Genomic DNA, 21,135 nt, shown 5'->3' on the forward strand with positions numbered 1-21,135 from the left:
TTTCATTTCTATTCTAGTCTTACTGATTTACTTTCTTCTGCTTGTTTTGGACCTAGTTTGCTTTTCTTTTTCTAGCTTCTAAAAGGGCAAATGAGGTTTGAAATCATTCTTTTCTGATATAGAGTTTAAACCTATAAATATCTTTGTTATTGACTTAGCTGCAGTCAATAAATTTTGATATGTTGTTTTAAATTTCATTCTACTAAAAATATCTCCTAATTTACTTTATGATTTCTTCCTTGACCCATCCCATTTGTTATTCAGAACTATGATGTATAATTCCGTGGAATTTATGGATATCCAGATTTTATTCTTTTATTATTTTCTAATTTACTTCCATTCATACTTTGTAAGACAGGAATCTTTAAATTTCCTGAGGCTTGTTTTATGGTCCATCACATGTTCTGTCATAATGATCCATGTGTACATGAAAAGCGGGTGTATACCACAGGCTTGTGTGAAGTGATTTTATACATCAGTTAGGTGAAGCTAGTTGATGTTGTCTTTTCAAGTGTTATATATTTTTGCTGGTTTTCTGTCCACTTGCTCTACCAGTTATTGAGAATGAGGAATAAAAATGCCCCCCGTCCCTTTTTTTTTTTTTTTTTCCGGATGGAGTCTCGCTCTGTTGCCCAGGCTGGAGTGCAATGGCACAAACTTGGCTCACTACAACCTCCACCTCCTGGGTTCAAGTGATTCTCCTGCCTCAGCCTCCTGAGTAGCTTGGATTACAGGTGCCTGCCACCATGCCTAGCTAATTTTTGAATTTTTAGTGGAGATGGGGTTTCACCATGTTGGCCAGGCTGGTCCTGAACTCCTGACCTCAGGTGATCCACCCGTCTCTGCCTCCCAAAATGTTAAGATTACAGGTGTGAGCCACTGCACCCAGCAAAATGCCCCATTATTATTGCTGAATTGTGTGGTCCTTCTTTTATTTATGGCACTTCTTGCTTTATGTATTTTGAAGCTTTGTTGCAAGCATGTATACATTTATAATTGATCTAGCTTCTGGATATATTAACTCTGACACTATTATGTAATTTTTATCTGTGTATTCCATAATATTCTTATCATGAAGCCTTGCCATAAATCTATTTCTTCAGATATTAATGTAGCCACTCCAGCTTTCTTATGATTACCATTGACACCATATATCTTTTTTCCATCCTTTTACTTTCAACCTATTTGGGTGTTGATTTAAGACTCATCTCCTGTAGGTAGTATAAACTCAGATCTTGCTTTTTTATCCACCTAATGATCTCCATCTTTTAATTTTGGTGTTTAAATTACTAAAATTTAATGTAGTTTTTGATATAGTTGAATCTAAATTTGCCATTTGGGTATTTGGTTTCTATATATCTCCCGTCTGGATTTGTTCCTCTGTTCCAGATTGACTGCATTCTTTTGTGTTCAGTAAATATTTTTAACTTTTCACTATATATTCACTAAATATTTTTATGTACCACTTTAACTTCTCTTTGAATTTTTAATTATGCTTTTGATTTATTTTAATAGTTGTTCTAAGGGTTACAATATACATTTTAACCTATCAGAATATACATCAGCTTAATACTAACTTACTTCAAGTAAAACATAGAAACTTTGCTCATATTTATTTCCAAACCCCTCCAACATTGGTCTGTTATCATATAAATTACAGTTATATATTTTAAAACCAACAGTACAATGTAATAATTATTACTTCACATAATCTTAGGTCATTTAGATAATATAGAAAAAATGAAAAAACAATACATAGAGTCTTTTTTATATTAACCCAGCTATTTACCATTTCCTGTGCCCTTCATTTATTCTTGTGGATTCAAGTCACCATATAGAGTCATTTCCTTTTAGACTGAAGGACTGTTTTTAGTTATTTCTTGTAATACAAGTTTGCTAGTAAGGAATTTTATCAGTCTTTATTTCACCTTGGCAGAATGTCCCTATAGATGGACCTAGGAAAGAGAAATACGGAAGCAGCCACAGGCCAGACCAAAACAGGGTTTGTATTAGTGCATTTTTGCATTGCTATTAAGAACTACCTGAGACTGTGTAATCTATAAATAACTTATAGATTGTAGCTAAGGAAGTTGTTACAAAGATATTTATAGGTTTAAAGACTAAAGACGTTTAATTGACTTACACTTCCACAGTCTGTACAGGAAGCATGGCTGTGGAGGCCTCAGGAAACTTACAATCATGGTAGAAGGCAAAGGGGAAGCAGGCAGGTTTTACATGGCCAGAGAAGGAGGAAGAGAGCAGGGGGAGATGCTACACACTTTTAAACAACCAGATCTCACGAGAACTCACTCACTACATGAGAACAGCAAGGGGGAAATCCACCCCCATGATCCAATCACTTCCCACCAGGCCCCTCCTCCAACACTGAGGGTCACAATTGCACAAGAGATTTCAGCAGTGACACAAATCAAAACCGTATCAGAGTTCAAACTTTCTTGCCCAAAGTTTAACATTGTTGTGCACATTTAATTTCCAGAGCACAGAAATGGTTGGTTTTGTCCATTTCATAGTTGTTCTTTGGCGAGAGGATTTCCCAACATCTTCACATGGTCACTTGAGAAACGCCTTTCTCAAACATAATCTTTCATGTTTTATGAAAAAAGTCAACAAAAAAGCCAAACTCTGTAAAATATTGAAAAATGTTTATTCTGCACAAAATACGACTGACCATGGCGCAAGGCACAGTCTCAAGACGTCCTGACCAAGGTGGTTGGGTTACAGCTTTCTTTTCTATGTTTTAGAGAGACAGAAGACATCAATCAATACATGTGAGGTATACATTGGTTTGGTGCAGAAGGGTAGGACAACTTAAAGCAGGGGAAAGTGGGTGCTTACAGGTCATAGGAAGATGCCAAGGTTTTCTGTTTGGCAATTGCTTGGAGGAGTTAAGTTATTTTCTAAAGACCTGGAATCAATAGAAAGGAGTGTCTGGGTTAACATAAGGGGTTGTGGAGACCAAGGTTTTTATTACATAGATGAAGTCTCATAAGTGGCTGCCCTTAGAGATAATAAATGGTGAATGTTTCCTATGTAGACTTTAAAAGGTGCTAGAATCTCAGTTAATCTCTTCAGGTTTAGGAGGGCCTGGAAGGGGAAAGATCTAGTTATGTTAAGGAGATGCTTTACAGATGCAAAATTTCCCCAACTGCCTTGCAGGGCCATTTCAAAATATGTCAAAGAAATCTATTTTGGGGGTAAAATATTTTTATTTCCTTTTTTATCATGTGAAGTTATACCTGAGTCAGGTTGAAATTTGGTATCTTATTGCTACAAAGAATCTGTTTTGTCAGTTTTAAGATCTGTTTTAATGTCAATTGTCATGGCCTGAACTAGTTTTCAGGATTCTTTAGAATCCCCTTGGCAGATGAATGGAGGGGAATTCAGTTGATTGGGGGAGTTAGAATTTGATTTTTCTGGTCAGGATTGAGCAGAGGAGGCCAAGCGTGGTGGCTCACACCTGTAATCCCAGCACTTTGGGAGGCCAAGGCAGGCAGATCACCTGAAGTCAGGAGTTCGAGACTAGCCTGGCCAACATTGCGAAACCCCATCTCTACTAAAAATACTAAAATTAGGCCAGGCACAGTGGCTCACGCCTATAATCCCATCACTTTGGGAGGCCGAGGCAGGTGGATCACGAGGTCAGGAGTTCGAGACTAGCCTGACTAACATGGCGAAACCCCATCTCTACAAAAAAATACAAAAATTAGCTGGGCCTGGTGGTGCATGCCTATAATCCCAGCTACTCAGGAGGCTGAGGCAGGAGAATCACTTGAACCCGGGAAATGGAGGTTGCAGTGAACCGAGATTGTGCCACTGCACTCCAGCCTGAATGACAGAGTGAGACTCTGTCTCAAAAAAAAAAAAAAAAAATTAGCCAGGTGTGGTGGTGCACGTCTGTAATACCAGCCATTTGGGAGGCTGAAGCAAGAGAATCACTTGAACCCAGGAAGCAAAGGTTGCAGTCAGCCTAGAACACACCACTGCACTCCAGCTTGGGCAACAGAGCAAGACTTCGTCAAAAAAAAAAAAAAAATTTCCCAGAGGCAACATCAATGGCCAAACTATCATTTTGTTGCATACCATTGCTGGGGTGGTGTGGCTATGTGCCCTGGGTCTATCCTATCCCTTGGTGGGGACTCACGGCCAACAGATGTAGAGCCAAAAGACTTATAGCCAATTTAAATATCCTAGGCCAGATGGGAATGGAAGTGGAGCAGGCATTTATCAAACCTTAAAATTTTGTAATGTAAGCATCAAGAACCAAAAGTCAAAAGGCAAGGTTACAAAATTGACTTAGCTATAAATTCTACGCATTAAGCTAGAATATCCTCACTTGGCCACTTGAGAAGTGTCTTTCTCAAACATTTTACATTTTATGAAAAAGCCAACAAGAAAAACCCAACTCTGTAAAATATTTTTAAAATTTTATTCTCAGCCAAATATGAGTGACCATGGCCCAAGGCACAGTCTCCAGAGGTCCTGAGAACATGTGTCCAAGGTGATTGGTTTACAACTTGGTTTTATATATTTTAGGGAGACCTAAGACATCAGTCAATACATGTTTTAGTTATAGACTTGTAGCAATTAGCTTGCAAAAGATAAGTACTTTGTTAAAACTTTTTAAGCTACAGAATTTAGAGACTTTTGTTGTGTCACAACGCTTTTAGCAGTCTTTTTAATAGTTTGTCCTAAGGTGCTTGATTTAAAAAAACTTTATATAACAATCTGCATAAATCTCATAACTGGGAGCACTATACCCAGGAGGTTTTCTTACCAGAAAAGTTCATATCCTCTTTGCAATTTTCTTTTAATTCTACAGGAAAGAGGAAATTATGGTTGGGATGGATGAAAAAGGTCCACATACTGGTCCAGGAGGTAAAGTATCTTATTTTGCCAACTGTTTGGGCATCTGTGTGCCCATTTTTTATTTGGAAGATCTAAATTAATTTTGTTGCTCAAAAATCAACCTTTACAATCTTACACATTTACCTCTTCCAAGATAGTGCCTGAGCCTAGAGGGAAGATGCTTATATAGTTTTAGCAGTGGAGCATTAGCATTGAAAATAGATCGGGCCCAGTGGGATTCTGAATAGTTTTAAATTTCAGAGATATTAAGCAGAGAGAGAGTGAAAAAGTAACCTTTGTTGTTTTATCCAATTTTGCAAGCTATGTATAGAGTTAGTAATGTTTAAACGAAAGGGACTTAAGCCCTGCCTAGCTCTGACAATGGCAGGAAAAGAAAACTCACAGGTAACTAAACATTTATCTAGTAAGGCATAGAACAAATTATATTAAGATAGATAGATGAAACATTATTCAATGATTACTTATGCCTTTGTATATAGGCCTGGTCCAGTGTCACATGAAAGCAGTTCATTTTGACTGTCATCTTCTCCCAGGTCTGAAGATGGAACTTTGGTCAACTTGAATTTGATGCCAGATATCAATATTGACTATTAAGATTCAGTAGGCGTCAGGATTCCCTTTCAGATGAGATACATGTACCCAGGAGTCAAAGCCCTGCAACTTAACAGCACAAGGGTTAGTTAATAACATTTCATAAAGACCTTTTTTAAGTGGGGCTAGAGGGAGTCTCTCAACTGATGTCTAATCATCAGGCTGGTGGTGGTGATACTGGAGTTTATGACTTGTTGGCAGCTGTGGAAAGATTCTATATCCTTATAGTGATTAATTTTTATAGTTTTAATAAGCCTCCAGCAATAAGTCAAGTCAGAGACTTAATTTGGGATTTGATTTTGAGGATATTTGTCAAAAATGTTAAAAGTCTCAAAATATTTTATTAAAACAGAACCATACAACATTATAAAATAATAGTTAATCATTTAACAAGAGTCACAATCAAAAGACTTCAACAACAATATAGGAAGTTACACAAATATAAAAACATTAACCCTTTCAAAGTTTGTTTTTTAAGTATTTTTTAAAACCTAATTAAAACAACACAGGAATTATTTTGATAAAATGTAAAATCACTGTTCCTTACGCTAATCACCAAAAAAGTAAAACAACAACAACAAAAAAGACCTATGGTAGCAATTATTTTTCCTTATGGGAAGCTTATTTGAATAACCTGAAAGTCAAACCTGCATCCCAGGACTTCTCAAAGACAGAAAGGCTAAAAACAGCAGAGTACAGCAGAATTTGAACTTCTAAGATAATCTCAGAAATTTCAAGTTTAAAAAAGAATTACATAATTAAAATTTAAAAATTTCTTGCAATTTCATTGAATAAATCAATATTTTAAGAAAATCTAGTCTACCAAAACTTTAGTTTTATATTAGTGTATTTTTAGTATCAAAGCACAATTTCTAGAAGATGATTAAATAATTTCCTTTCCAGTATAGCCAACTTAATCACACACAAAATTTCTTTTATAAATTCTGTTTTTTACAAACCCTATTATGACTTTCACATACTATTTATGACATGCTTGAACTTTCTGTTTTATTCTAGGACAAAAATTTATCATACAAGATTCTTTTTCACACAAAATTATTTTCCTTTTAAACTCTATTACCAAAAAATACTGCTTTTATAGCTATAGCTTTCTTTACATTTCTTTTACTTACTATCAGCTCATTTTACCCTGTTTCAAAGTAACCCTTGAATTAGACAAAAATTATTTACTTTTATTAAGAACACATTTTTATGTCTTATAATTTTTCTTATTTTCATCAGAATATATCTTTTTTTGGCATGTTTTACATGTAGAATTATATATTAAATTCAATTTTTATTTTTAGTAACCTTACTTTTTTGTGAAGACCTAGTAAATAGGAAATCTTAAATTGTTTATCACATGAGCATTTTATAGATGAAAACCATTTTATAATTAATTTGTTTGAAAATGTTTTTGTATATATAATCTTTTAAAACAATTGGATATGACCCACATATTTAATAATTATCTCTTATTTAACTTAACATAACTTTAAGAATTTAAAATTACAGGACAAGTTTATTTATAAACATTTATTCCATTGCATTTATTTGACTATTTATTTATTTTTAATATTTTACCTAGAGTACTTATGAAAACTGTGATGTTAGACAAAGCTAGTCATTATTTAAAGTTATTTCTCTGTTAACCAATTTTACAGCATGTGAATATCAGGTGTTTAACTAAGTATGAAATTTACAGTTAAATAAATGTTTTTTTTTTTTTGCTGATAACTCAGGATTTATCTGTTTTCATTAGACCAACAATATTAAATGCCTTATTTATCAAAAATTACACAAAGATCATAGATTTGGGGCTGAGTTTATACTTCTATATCCTTTGTGCCAAACTTTAACACCTTATAAAATATCTATAAGAGATAAACACAAAACCACCTGACCAGTAAATCTAGACAAAATGTGTGCTGACAATTCTGAAGACATTTCTAATTTTATTTTACCAATAATTTTAAAGTCAGCTTATTTGTTAAAGATTTACTTAAGTCACATGAACTAGAAAAGCACTGGGCTTATTTACTTAATTTATGAGTACTCCTTTATTGTAAAGCCAATTTGGTACTTTGTGGTCACAACACATTAAAAAAAATGGATGTACGTACATACAAACACATCTAAACACATACACACACATACAAACAAAGATCTTATAGCTTTTATTTCAGAACTCTAACCATGAGATAAATACAAACTCACCAGTTTGAAAAAAAAAAAGAAAGAAAAAGAAATGGTTGGATGCAGACAGTGGTTTTTATCTCAACTCCAGTAGAAAAGTAACAACAGATTTAAAGCAGGCAGAAAAGAAAATAGAGAAATACACATAAAACTTTAAAGACTCTATATTCGCAGGTTGACTTTTGACCTCTGAATTTTTCTTGATGTAATTTAGCCACAAGTTTAAAATGTGCCCAAGAATAGACCATAATATGTAACCAGCTGGAGTATTAGAAAACCTGGCATGCCTTCAAACTTTTCCATTTACACAAATGCTTGCAAGTAGAGGCATCATAAAACCAAACAACGTGCCCAAAAGGGGGTTGTTATCTTTGTATCTCCTCATTCTTTGATTATTTGTTTCCCTTTTTTTAATTTTCTTTAAGGGAGGAACCAAACTGTAGTCTGCGTTTCAATGGAGTGGAGCTGAGAAGTTCAGTCTCTCGTTGATTCACACAAGGGACAGTTCAGTTTCTCAAGCAAATGCACAAACAAGCCAAGTGAGATTAATTTGGGGAGAAAGAGGCAATGGAAAAGATCCTTCAGAATGCTTTCTGAATCAAAATTAGGATCCTGAACAACAACTTCCTAGGAAAAGAACCAGCTCAGAATAAAGCAGAAGACTGTCAACTGAGCAGGAGGTTCAGGGCTGAGGAGGACTTACCAGTTTCACTCAAGAAGAAGCTTGGAGTTGGGGGGCTTTCAATGGGCCCCTGCTGGTACCTTAGCTCTGGGTTTGGGTGACTCTTTCAGGGTTCTGAGTCTTCTCTGAGGCCCCATATGTAGGGTGCCAATTAATATTGACTAAAAAAGCCAAACTGTAACATATGTGAAGAGGTTTATTCTAAGCCAAATATGAGTAGCCATGGCCCAAGGCATGGTCTCAAGAGGTCCTGAGAACATGTGCTCAAGGTGGTTGGGCTACAGCTTTCTTTTCTATGTTTTAGAGAGACATAAGACATCAATCAATACATGTGAGGTATCCATTGGTTTGGTCTAGAAGGGCAGGACGACTTAAAGCAGGGGAAAGTGGGTGCTTACAGGTCATAGGAGGATTCCAAGATTTTCTGATTGGCAATTGCTTGAAAGAGTTAAGTTATTTTCTAAAGACCTGGAATCAATAGAAAAGAATGACTGGGTTAACATAAGGGGTTGTGGAGACCAAGGTTTTTATTACATAGATGAAGTCTCATAAGTGGCTGCCCTTAGAGATAATAGATAGCAAATGTTTTCTATTTAGACTTTTAAAAGGTGCTAGATTCTCAGTTAATCTCTTCAGGTTTCGGAAGGCCTGGAAGAGGAAAGATCTAGTTATGTTAATGAGATGCTTTACAGATGCAAATGTTTCTCAATGGCTCTGCAGGTCCATTTCAAAATAGGGCCAAAAAACATACTTTGGGGTAAAATATTTTTATTTCCATTTTTATCATGTGAAGTTATACTAGAGTCAGGTTGGACTTTGGTATCTTATTGCTACAAAGAATCTGTTTTGTCAGTGTTAAGATCTGTTTTTTTTCTTTGTTTTTGTTTGTTTGTTTTGAGAAGTGGTCTCACTTTGTCACCCAGGCTGAAATGCAGTGGCACAATCTCAGCTCACTGCAACCTCTGCCTCCCAGGCTCAAGCGATTCTCCTGCCTCAGCCTCCCAAGTTGCTAGGACTAAGGTGTATGTCACCATGCCTAGCTAATTTTTGTATTTTTGCAGAGACAGGATTTCACCATGTTGCCCAGGCTATTCTTGAACTCCTGACTTCAAGGGATACGCCCACCTCAGCCTCCCAAAGTGTTGACATTATAGGCATGAGCCACCTCACCAGGCCAAGATCTGTTTTAATGTTCATGCTGGTCAGTTATGCCTGAAATCCAAATGGGAGAGGGTATAATGAGGCATGTCTGACCACCTACTTCCTTCCCTTTATGGCCTTAACTAGTTTTTCAGGTTTCTTTGGAATCTCTTTGGCAGAAGTGTGGGATCCATTCAGTCAATTGGGGGGTTAGAATTGCATTTTTGGTCATGAAACTTGACCTTGAAAGTTATTTTATGAATATGAACCATTTTCTTTTTTTTATTATTATACTTTAAGTTTTGGGATACATGTGCAGAATATGCAGGTTTGTTACATAGGTATACACATGCCATGGTGGTTTGTGGCACTCATCAACCTGCCGTCTACATTAGGTATTTCTTCTAATGCTATCCCTCCCCTAGTCCCCCACCACTGACAGGCCCCAATGTGTGATGTTCCCCTCCCTGTGTCCACGTGTTCTCATTGATCAACTCCCACTTATGAGTGATAACATTCAGTGTTTGGTTTTCTGTTCCTGTGTTAGTTTGCTGAGAATGATGGTTTCCAGCTTCATTCATGTCCCTGCAAAAGACATGAACTCATCCTTTTTTGTGGCTGCATAGTATTCCATGGTGTATATGTGCCACATTTTCTGTATCCAGTCTATCATCAATGGGCATTTAGGTTGGTTCCAAGTCTTTGCTATTGTGAACATTGCCGCAATAAACATATGTATACGTGTGCATGTGTCTTTGTAGTAGAATGATTGATCATCCTTTGGGTATATACCCAGTAATGGGATTACTGGGTCAAATGGAATTTCTGATTCTAGATCCTTAAGGAATCGACACACTCTTCCACAATGGTTGAACTAACTTACACTCCCACCAACAATGTAAAAGCTTTCCTATTTCTCCACATTATCTCCAGCATCTGTTGTTTCCTGACTTTTTAATGATTGCCAAATACCTAATGACTTTTTAATGATGGCCCCAAATACCTAATCCTGATGGTAATGGTATTAAGAGGTAAGGCCTATGGGAGGTGATTTGGTCATGAGGCTCTACCCCCATGAATGGGATTAGTATCCTTAAAAATGTGGCCTGAGGGAGCTCTTTTACTTCTACTACCATATGAGGACATAGCTAGAAGGTGCCATCTTTGAAGCAGAGATTGAGCCCTCATTGTTCACCACATTTTCTGGCACCTTAATGTTCGAAATCCCTGACTCCAGGACTCTCAGTAAATTACGTTTTTAAAAACTACCCAGTCCAAGTTACATTGTTATAGCACCCTGAAAGAATCAAGGTATAAATTGATAGCAAGAAGTGGTGTGCTGCTCTAACAAATACCTACAAATGCGGATGCAGCTTGGGAACTAGGTAATGGGTAGAGGCCGTAAGAATGCAAAGGATCAGGCTAGAAAAAGCCTACATTTCTGTGAGCAGAGTGTTAAGAGTGATCTGGTTATGGCTCAGAAGAGGAGAGCTGTAAACAATGCCTAATCTTCTTAGAGATTTCCTAAGAGGTCATGAACAGAATTTTGGTATAAATCTGGATGGTAAAGGCCATTCTGATGAAGTCTCAGGTGAAAATGAGAAATGTTATCAGAAACTGGAGGAAAAGCCATCCCTCTTATAAAGTGGCAAATAACCTGGCTGAACTGTGTATGTATCCTAGGGCTTTGCAGAAGGTAGAACTTCTGAGCAATGATAGTATAGTTAGTGAAATAAATATCTAAGCAAAGTGTTGAGGGTGTGTTATGGCCTCTCTTGAATGCTTGTAGTAAAATACAAGAAGATAGAAACAAATTAAAAAGAATTTATAATCAAAAGGGAAGCAGAATGTAAAGATCTGAAAAATTTTCAGTGTGGCTATGTTGTGAAGAGTTAATGAAAAAGCATATTCAGAAGAGAATACTAAAGGTATGACCAAGCCACCATTTGATAAGAAGATTAGTAGGGATAGAAGGAAGGCAGATGCTATTCTGCATGACAATAAGAGAATGACCCTAAAGGCATTTCAGAGACCATCCAGCCTGCCACTCACATCACAGGCTCAGAATACCAAACCTGGGGCGTAAAATGAGGTCAAAAGAGGGACCTTGGGCATCCAAGGAACCTCAGTGCTTGCTGCCCTGAACTACCTCAAGTCTCTGCTCCCTACATTCTGGCACAGCATTTTTCAGCTCCCTCTCTCATCAGATGTGTCTCAAATGGGCCCAGATGTGGTTCAGGCCACCACTCTAAAGTGCACAGGCAGTAAAAATCTTGGCAGCATCAACACAGTGCCATCTCCACAGGAGCACAGAGCAAAATGAGCTGTAGAGACATGGCTACCTCCACCTATATTACTAAGGGTACTCCCAGAGAGCTGCAGGGCATGGACAAAGATGTCCCACAGGAATAGGACTACAATAAAGAGTCACCATTGGGGCAATGTCTATTAAAGCCATGGAGGGACCACCATAAAGGCAAAGTCTGGTAAAACCATGAGGGCAGGGCCATCCCAGAGACCTCAGATTGGTAAAGCCACCAGTGTGCAACTCCAGCCTAGGACAACCACAAACACAAGACTCCAACACATGAGCACTGTGGCACGGGCTATGCACAGAAAAGTCATTGGGAATGGGACCAGTTAAAGCCTTGGGGGCCCAATCCTCATCCAAGTGTGTGTGAAAGGCACAACACTGAGTCAAAGAAGATTATTCTCCAGCCTTAAGTTTTAATATTGTTTGTGCTCTTGGGTTTTAGACTTCCTTGAAACATATTACCCCTTTTCCTTTCTTCTCTCTCCCTTATGGAATGGGAATTTCTAACTTATGCCTGTCCCACCACTGTATTTTGGAAACATAAAACTTGTTTAACTTCAAAAGCTCAGAGTAGAAGGGGAATTTGGCTCAGAATGAATGATACCTTGAGTCTCACCCAAATCTAACGTAGATGATATTTAGATGAGACTTTGAACTTTAAACTTTTGAGTTGATGCAAAAACAGGTTAAGAATTTGGGGGCTATTGACGGGCACGGTGGCTCACGCCTGTAATCCCAACACTTTGGGAAGCCAAGGTGGGTGGATCACGAGGTCAGGAGTTCAAGACCAGCCTGGCCAACATATTGAAACCCCGTCTATACTAAAAATACAAAAATTACCCAGGCATAGTGGCACACGCCTGTAGTCCCAGCTACTCAGGAGGCTGAGGCACGAGAATCACTTGAGCCTGGGAGGTGGAGGTTGCAGCGAGCCAAGATTGCACCACTGCACTCCAGCCTGGGTAACAGAGTGAGACTCCGTCTCAGGAAAAAAAAAAAAAAAAAAAAAAAGAATTTGGGGGCTATTAGGATAGGATGAATATATTTTGCATGTGGGAAAGACACAAATTTGGGGGGCCCAAGGGTGGGAAGGTATGTTCTAAAAGTCTGTATCCCCCAAAATTTATATGTTGAAACCTAACCCCCAAGGTGATATTATTAAGAGATGTAGCCTTTGGAAGCTGATTAGATAATGGAGGGTCAGTCATACTGAATGGGATTAGTTCCCTAATAAAACAGACGTGAGAGAGCTTGTCACCTCTTCTGCCATGTGAGCATATAGATAGAAGGTGCCATCTTTGAAGCAGAGAGTGAGCCTTCAACAGATAATGAATGTGCTGGGGCCTTGATCTTGGACTTCCCAGACACCACAACTGTGAGCAGTAAGTTTTATTATTTATAAAAGATTATAAATCACCTAGCTATGGTATTTTGCTACAGCAGCCTGAATGGACTAAAATAAGGCTGATATATTTTACTGATAATTTCAAAGAATCTGTTTAAAATTCATTGATTATTAATTTTTGGCTTTCTATTCCTGTGATTTCACTTTCAAAATGATTGAATCAATTCTTCTCATTTGCTTGGATTAATTATTTGTTTATTAACATTTGGTAAGATTAGTTCATTCTTTTCGGTCTTATTACCTTAATTTTCAAAACTGTTTTATATAACACTTGGTTGAGCTTATGATAATAAATAAATAAATAAACATTTTAATAAAGTCATTAATGGATAAAGGCTTTCCTCTGAGAAAAGCATCTGCAGGCATAATAGGATTTGACTTGATGTATTTTGCCTTTAATTATTCTCTGGATATTATGTAAGTTCCCTTTTTATTTCCTATTTGAGTAAAAGAGAATCTTAAACGTGTTTATTAATTTCAGATTGGATAAGATTTTGGTAATGTTTCTTTACTTCCAAATTTATTGAATAGACAAATGATATGGATGGATAAATGCTTACTATTTTAATACATTAAATGATTTTAAGCCAAAAGACTGATAAACCTATTAAAAATTCTCATTCTTGCCGGGCACAGTGGCTCACACCTGTAATCCCAGCACTTTAGGAGGCCAAGGTGGGCGGATCACTTGAGGTCAGGAGTTTGAGACTAGCCTGGCCAACATGGGGAAACCCCGTCTCTACTAAAAAATACAAAAATAGGCCGGCGTGGTGGCAGGCACCTGTAATCTCACCTACTCAGGGGGCTGAGGCAGGAGAATCACTTGAACCTGGGAGGTTGGAGGTTGCGGTGAGCCAAGATCAGGCCACTATACTCCAGCCTGGGCGACAGAGCCAGAAGTCCATCTCAAAAAAAAAAAAAAAAAAACAAAACTCATTCTCTAATTGTGAGATGTAAAGTGTTATATTTAATACGTAAATTGTGTTTATTGATTGAATAATTCAGTTCTTTATGTCTTTTACAGGAATTTAAAGACTGATTTATGCATAAAACAAGAGAATCAGAAGTATTAAATTTAATCAGTGCTTATTATGGCATGGTCCATTTATATCAGTGTTTTTCTTTTTGAGAGTATTTCCTTATTTTCTGAATCCATGTATAAATAAAAGCTATTTTCTACTAAAAAAAAACCATGGTAACATGGATCAATAAATAATACAGATCAAAGCAGAACTAAACAAAATAGAGATGAAAAACCAACACAAAGGATCAACAAAATGAAAAATTGGTTCTTTGAAAATATAAACAAAACTGCTGGGCGCGATGGCTCACTCCTGTAATCCCAGCACTTCGGGAGGCCAAGACGGGTGAATCACTTGAGGTCAGGAGTTCGAGATCAGCGTGGCCAAAATGGTGAAATCTCATCTCTACTAGAAATAAAAAAAGTAGCCAGGCATGGTGGCGCACGCCTGTAAACTCAGCTACTAGGGAGGCTGAGGCACAAGAATCGCTTGAACCCAGGAGATGGAGGTTGCAGTGAGCCAAGATCACACCACTGCACTCCAGCCTGGGTGACAGTTTTATATTTATATATATATATACACACACACACACACATATGAACCTGATAAACCACTAGCTAGACTAACCAAGAAAAGAACAGACCCAAATAAACAAAATCAGAAATGGCAAAGGAGAGATTACCACTGATACCACAGAAATACAAAAGATCATCAGAGAGTATTATGAACGACTATACACTAACGAACTGGAAAACCTAGAATATGCAGTCTATATATACAAAATGGAATACTCTTCAGCCATTAAAAAAATGAAATGATGTATTTGCAGCAACTTGGATGGAACTGAAGATCATTATGTTAAGTGAAATAAGCCAGGCACAGAAAGGAAAATATAGCTCTCATTCATCTGTAGGAGCTAAAATACTTGTTGGCATGGAGGTGGAGCGTGGAATGATAGATACCAGAGACAGGAAAGGGTGTATTTGCGGGAGGGCAGTGGGGCTGAAGAGAGTTGGTTAATGCGTAGAAACATACAGTTAGAAAAAATAAGTTCTAAACTTTGATAGAAGAGTAAGGTGACTATAATCAACACTTTTCTGTAGTTTTAAAATAGCTGGAAGAAAGGACTTGAAATGTACCCAACACATAGAAATGATAAATACTTTGTTGATAGGTAACTTAAATATCATGAATTGATTATTACACATTGTATGCATGTAACAAAATTTCACATGTACCCTTAAATATATACAAATATAATGTATCAAAAAATTAAAAATAGAAAATTAAGAAAATAAATAATAAATTAAAAAGCTTAAAATATGGAAAGTAAAAAGCTGTTTAATAGTATTGAAAAGTGCTTCTGTTGCAATCTTAAATGAGGTCCACAGCAAGCATACATTACTTTTTTTGTTTTTTTAAGTGTCTGTTATGGAAGGAGAGTATAGAAATGTGTTACTCTCTGTAAGGCAATTTCTGTAATATACAAATTATGCCTAACTACCTCTATTGGCTATGCTTAGAAAAGGATTGTGGCAGACCAATTCTCCCTGACAATCACACAGACAGGCCTGCATGACAGTCACACAGGCAGGCCTGCATAGCACCTCAGTTACACAGACAAATTTCTACAGAGTGGCCTTAACATTGAGCAAATAGTTTAACCGAGGGAAATCGATGCCCAGACATCAAAGCTAGAAATAAAACATATGGTCAAGGCCGGGGGCGGTGGCTCACGCCTATAATCCCAGCGCTTTGGGAGGCCAAGGAGGGCAGATCACCTGAGGCCAGGAGTTCGAAACCAGCCTGACCAATATGGAGAAACTCTAACTCTACTAGAAATACAAAATTAGCCGGGCGTGGTGGCGCATGCCTGTAATCCCAGCTACTCGGGAGGCTGAGGCAGGAGAATCGCTTGAGTCCGGGAGGCGGATGTTGCAGTGAGCGGAGATCGCGCCATTGCACTCCAGCCTGGGCAACAACAGCGAAACTCCGTCTCAAAAAACAAAAGAAAAGAAAGAAACATATGGTCAGTAGGAACCTTGCATGGGCTTCTCTGGAACAAGCCAAAAGAATGGAGACAGTCTTACATTCCTAGTGCCAGGACCCATCTTGGGTCAATGAAATCTGAGACGAGTCAAGGTAACAGAGGCAGCTGCATTGGAGAGTCCAAGGCAGCTCTCCGGACCAAGCTGTAAAGGAGATAAGATAGAAATAATCATTCCGGTACCACAGTAGACAGGCTTTGAAGGTACTGGGGCCCTTTTAATTGGACTTAGCAAGCATTTTTTTTGCCTCTGACATTCTAGTTGAAGCAAATTTAGTTACCAATAGACATAGGCGAATGCTATATTGCAGTAGGCACATAACCCCAACCTATATAAGCACTAAGAAAATTGTAACACTTTGAGTTGGTCTGGTGGAATTATCTCCAGCGTTCTTCCTGTATCCAGTTACAGCAATAAATTCCTGTGTTTCCTAGTTTGCCTGCTTTTCCGTACTAGGCCTCTAGAAAATGCAGCGGGCCGGGCTTCGTTCCTGGAACAGGAGTAACTCCCAAACAAGTATTAGTGTAGGACTGAAAATAAATGCAGACTATCTTGAGAGTCTCAAAGGAAAATAGGGTGGCTAGAGAGGCCTTTCTCTAAGTCTTGAACTTCTAGCATTTTATTCTCTCTCTTAAGCTTGGAGACTTCACACTTATCCTTTCAGGTAGAAAATCTGATACTATGGGAAAGTACTGGATATAGAATGTTGAGCAGAACTGCACAGATTGCATATAATGAAAGCAGAACTCCATAGACAAAGTCAGGTGTCAATTAAATTTCTGAAATAACAATATTCCTGATGAGGGTGAGTGGTTTTAGGTCTCAGTTTGATTCACATGGAAAACAAAAGCGGAAGTTGAGTAGTAAGGCAAGGTTGCCCCCAAACTGGACAAAACATAAGGCAGCCATGTTTGCCGGAGTTTTTTCAGACACGAGGGGCGGGAGAAGAGGGATCTAGACACGGCTTCTTGGCGTTTCTGGAGCACTACTGCCATCGTGAGGATGAAGTTTCATGAAACCCTACGCCATTACACTGTTCTCGAATTCTGGAGAACAGTATTTTTCTCTCTGTTGGGGAAATTCTGATCTGTGGGAAGGAGGAAGAGGCGTGGGGCTCCAAGCTAGGTCTTCTTGCCTTCTCCTCTAAGACCTTAAGATAGACCTGGACATTGGCGGTATCTTGGTGTAGAACCTGGAGAGTGAGGACTTAGAATGAACCAGCCCCTGCCGGGCGGTCCTGGCACAGAAAGTCGTGGGGCGGGGCCTCGGTTCCTCCTCTGGGCAGGACTGCAGGAACCCGCTCAAAGACAAATGCAGGCTCTTGTGGGCATCTGTCTCCTGTTCCTGCCCCTTGGAGCAAAAGTCAGTAGGTTTTCACATGGTATTATCTTACTACGGGTCTTTGGCTCTCTTGTGGCATCAGTATCCGCGCACAATAAACAACGTTCTTCCAGGGGAGGTTTACAGGATTTGCTCTTAGAACCTTCACTCTCCAGGTTCTATACCAAGGTACCGCCAATGTCCAGGTCTCTTTTAAAGCCTCAAACGAGACTAAGCAAGGACTCCCAGCATGGAGGCGAACCCTCTTCCACCTTTTACCAGACCACACCTGCCCCAACAGGTAGTCCTCACTAGAACTCTTTAATGGCGTAGGGTTTCGTTAAACGATATCCTCACGATGGCAGTAGAGCTCCAGATATGCCAATAAACCTCACCTTGGAGGACTCTACTCCCGCTCTTCTTGTGTGAAAAAACGCCACCCATAGACAAAGGCGCCACCAAACATGGGTGCCTTGTATTTTGCCTTCTTTGGGTCCACCTGGTCTTACTGCTGCACTTTTGCTTTTGTTTTGTTTTTGCTTTTGTTTTTGTTTTTCTTTTGAGACGGAGTCTCGCTCTGTCGCCCAGGGTGGAGTGCAGTGGCACGATCTCAGCTCACTGCAACCTCTGCCTCCCGGGTTCAAGCAATCCTCCTGCCTCAGCCTCCCAAGTAACTGTGATTACAGGCACCGCACCCAAGTCGAGCTAATTTTTGTATTTGTAGTAGAGACGAGGTTTCACCATGTTAGCCAGGTTGATCACGAACTCCTGACCTCAGGTGATCCGCCTGCCTCGGCCTCCCAAAGTGCTGTGATTACAGACGTGAGCCACCCCACCTGGCCTTGCTTTTGTCTTCCGTTTGAAATCAAACCAAACTCTAAACCATGCACCCTCGTCAAGAATCTTATTATTTCAGAAATTAAATGTCTTCTTGATCTAGTCTATATGGGTATGATTTACGTTACAGAATTATATGTCCAGTACTTTCCAAGGCATCAAACTGTCTCCTTCAGGGGATAAATTCAATGGATGAGGGCACAAAAAGGAGAAAGTTGCTAGAAGCTTAGAGATTTTCGCTGGCAAACAATTTACAAATCCTGGTGGTCTCTGTTCTGGCTCCCCTCCCAGACAACCAGGGAGTTCTTCATGTTGTAGCTCATGTGTTGCATTGTAGGCAACAATGTGGCATGCATGAATCATAGAGAAGGGACCAGATAGCTGTCATTACTGCATGTCAAATATGTTCCGCATGGCAAGATACTCATAGTACATATGTTCAATTCCTGTCCAGGTTACTCAGTGTTTCATCTCGGGGTCTCATCATCTAACATCAAAACACAGCATGTTCCCATGCCATTACATATTCTTCAGGTATTTCCTGAGACTTTATGGTGTGTGTGTGTGTATGTGTGTGTGTGTGTCTGTCTGCATTTTATAATTTGTCTTTTAGGTATAATGTTTACAGTATTCTCCCACTAATTAATTAAAAAATAATGGCTGCCAAAGATTCGGAAAAATCCACATACTACTAAAGAAGAAAAACACTACCATACAACGTGTCAAGGCAACTAACCTTTTGGATCATTTCTGTGTATATCTTTCAATATATATATACATTCTTGATTTCATGTAAAAAATAAATCTGTATTAAAACTGGATTATAGGCTGGGCACGGTGGCTCACACCTGTAATCCCAGCACTTTGGGAGGCCAAGGTGGGCGGATCACCTGAGGTCAGGAGTTCGTGATCAACCCGGCCAACACAGTGAAACTTCATCTCTACTAAAAATACAAAACTTAGCGGGCACCTGTAATCCCAGCTACTCAGGAGGCTGGGGCAGGACAATCACTTGAACCTGGGAGGCAGAGGGTGCAGTGAGCCAAGATCATGCCACTGCACTCCAGCCTGGGCGACAGAGGGAAACTTTGTCTCAAAAACAAAACAAAACAAAACAAAAAAACTGGATTACATTGTACATTGTGGATTGAATCAGACCAAGTATGTATGTTAACAAAGGTTTGAGGAGCATGAATTAATTTGAATGTCATCAATATTATATGTCAACATTTTAAGCCTTCATTATAAACAAAGGTAAATCTTAAACTATGCCCTCGAAAACATTGCTTTAGAAAAGTAGACACTATTTTTTGTTTGAATTTTTACAGATACATCACAATGTGCATATTGGCTCTCTAGAACACATACATGATTATATATTTGGTTTAAGGTTATCACATTTTAGAAGTAGAGTAAAATATACTTTACTTTGTCATTTACCGTGTGGAAGGGTTTAATCCTCAAGGTTCAATAATTTACTTTTCTCACTAAATCAGACACAGGGAATGGCTGCTTATGAGGACATAGAATGCAATTAAGATTTTGTGAGGACTAAAGGGATTACCTGGTGCAGATGAATGACATGTATCCAACCTAAATGGGAATGATAGGCTCATTGCCCCTCCACACTATCCTCCCTTGCAGAAGAAACCAATCAACCTCCTGTCACTACCACTGGGATTCAGCTAGGTGTGATTTCCTTACCAGGCTTCTATCCACTGCCTAGGCACACAGCCTCTATTAAAGATAGTTAGCAAGGAATGAATAAACAATTCTTTAGCCTAAGGAATTCTAGGTCTGAGACCAGCAACTTTTCTAGCTTTGTTACACTAAGTAGCTAGTCAGGTATAAGCAGAGCAGGTGAGGCTCTCCCCACCCACCAGGAATGTCAGGCGACCATCAGGTGATAGTCAAGCAGTTGTCACACTGCCTCTCTAAAATAATAACTGGGTGCACCCTGCACCAAGAAGCAGTTTCCCAATAGATAAAAACACCTGAAATTGGTAATCAGCAGCTTCCAGTAAGATCTCAGGAATTGGTCAAGTGGGCTTCACATTAAGAGGCAAAATGGTGGAATTTAACTGGTATATGGCCTTCCAGGGATATTGCACGGTAAAGGGAAGAATGCCTCACCTGAGCACGTGTACAGCTTCAGTAAATACACTGCGCATGCAGGCAGCCTGCCGCAATGGAAGAATCAAAAGAAAAGGGACACAAGATGCCGGAAGTAGGCCACCATATAAAATCCTAGGTCCAAGGTCAAACGGAGCACTTGACCAAGATGTCTGCTTGGCCCTCTTCCAAGTGTACTTTACTTTCTTTTCATTTCTGCTCTAAAGCTTTTGAATAAACATCACTCCTGCTCTAAAACTTTCCTTGGTCTCTTCTTCTGCCTTATGCCCCTCAGTCGGATTCTTTCTTCTCAGAAGGCAGGAATCGAGGTTGCTCCAGACCTGTTTGGATTCAACGCTGGTAGCACAGATAACTTCAACCGCTAATATATTTATACAAACACAACCCAAAGAAAGCCAAACACCATTTCATAGTTGACAGTGTTTACTGTATGATTGTTATACCAAATAGGCCAAATATATCATGTTTGGACTTCAGAGGACTTAATATCTAAACTAGTAATTATGTCAGAAAAAAATATAATTTATAATTTAATTTTGGAAGCTTTGTCAAATATCAAT

The 21,135-nt window shown here is 38.7% G+C and overlaps 1 long non-coding RNA gene across 2 annotated transcripts in view, besides 1 other annotated feature; it reads right to left on the reverse strand.

Annotated features, from left to right (window-relative positions):
• Window positions 1–4,435: 4,435 nt before the first annotated feature.
• Window positions 4,436–21,135, reverse strand: part of FIRRE (firre intergenic repeating RNA element) — a 139,119-nt gene continuing 122,419 nt past the window's right edge. The window contains exon 10 of one of the 2 annotated variants that reach the window (NR_152876.1): window positions 4,436–5,547. This is a non-coding gene — a long non-coding RNA (firre intergenic repeating RNA element). Of the gene's footprint in view, window positions 5,548–15,560; window positions 16,430–21,135 lie in introns of those variants that run through there. The other variant, NR_026975.2, reaches the window with a different exon arrangement.
• Window positions 17,120–17,359: an enhancer, noted in NCBI's record as "active region_29949". NCBI's record gives its function as "activates an Ori minimal core promoter by ATAC-STARR-seq in GM12878 lymphoblastoid cells {active_cell/tissue: GM12878}" and the evidence as "EXISTENCE:reporter gene assay evidence [ECO:0000049][PMID:35858748]".

The sequence above is a fragment of the Homo sapiens genome, chromosome X (genome assembly GCF_000001405.40).
Source record: "Homo sapiens chromosome X, GRCh38.p14 Primary Assembly".
Classification (NCBI taxonomy): domain Eukaryota; kingdom Metazoa; phylum Chordata; class Mammalia; order Primates; family Hominidae; genus Homo; species Homo sapiens.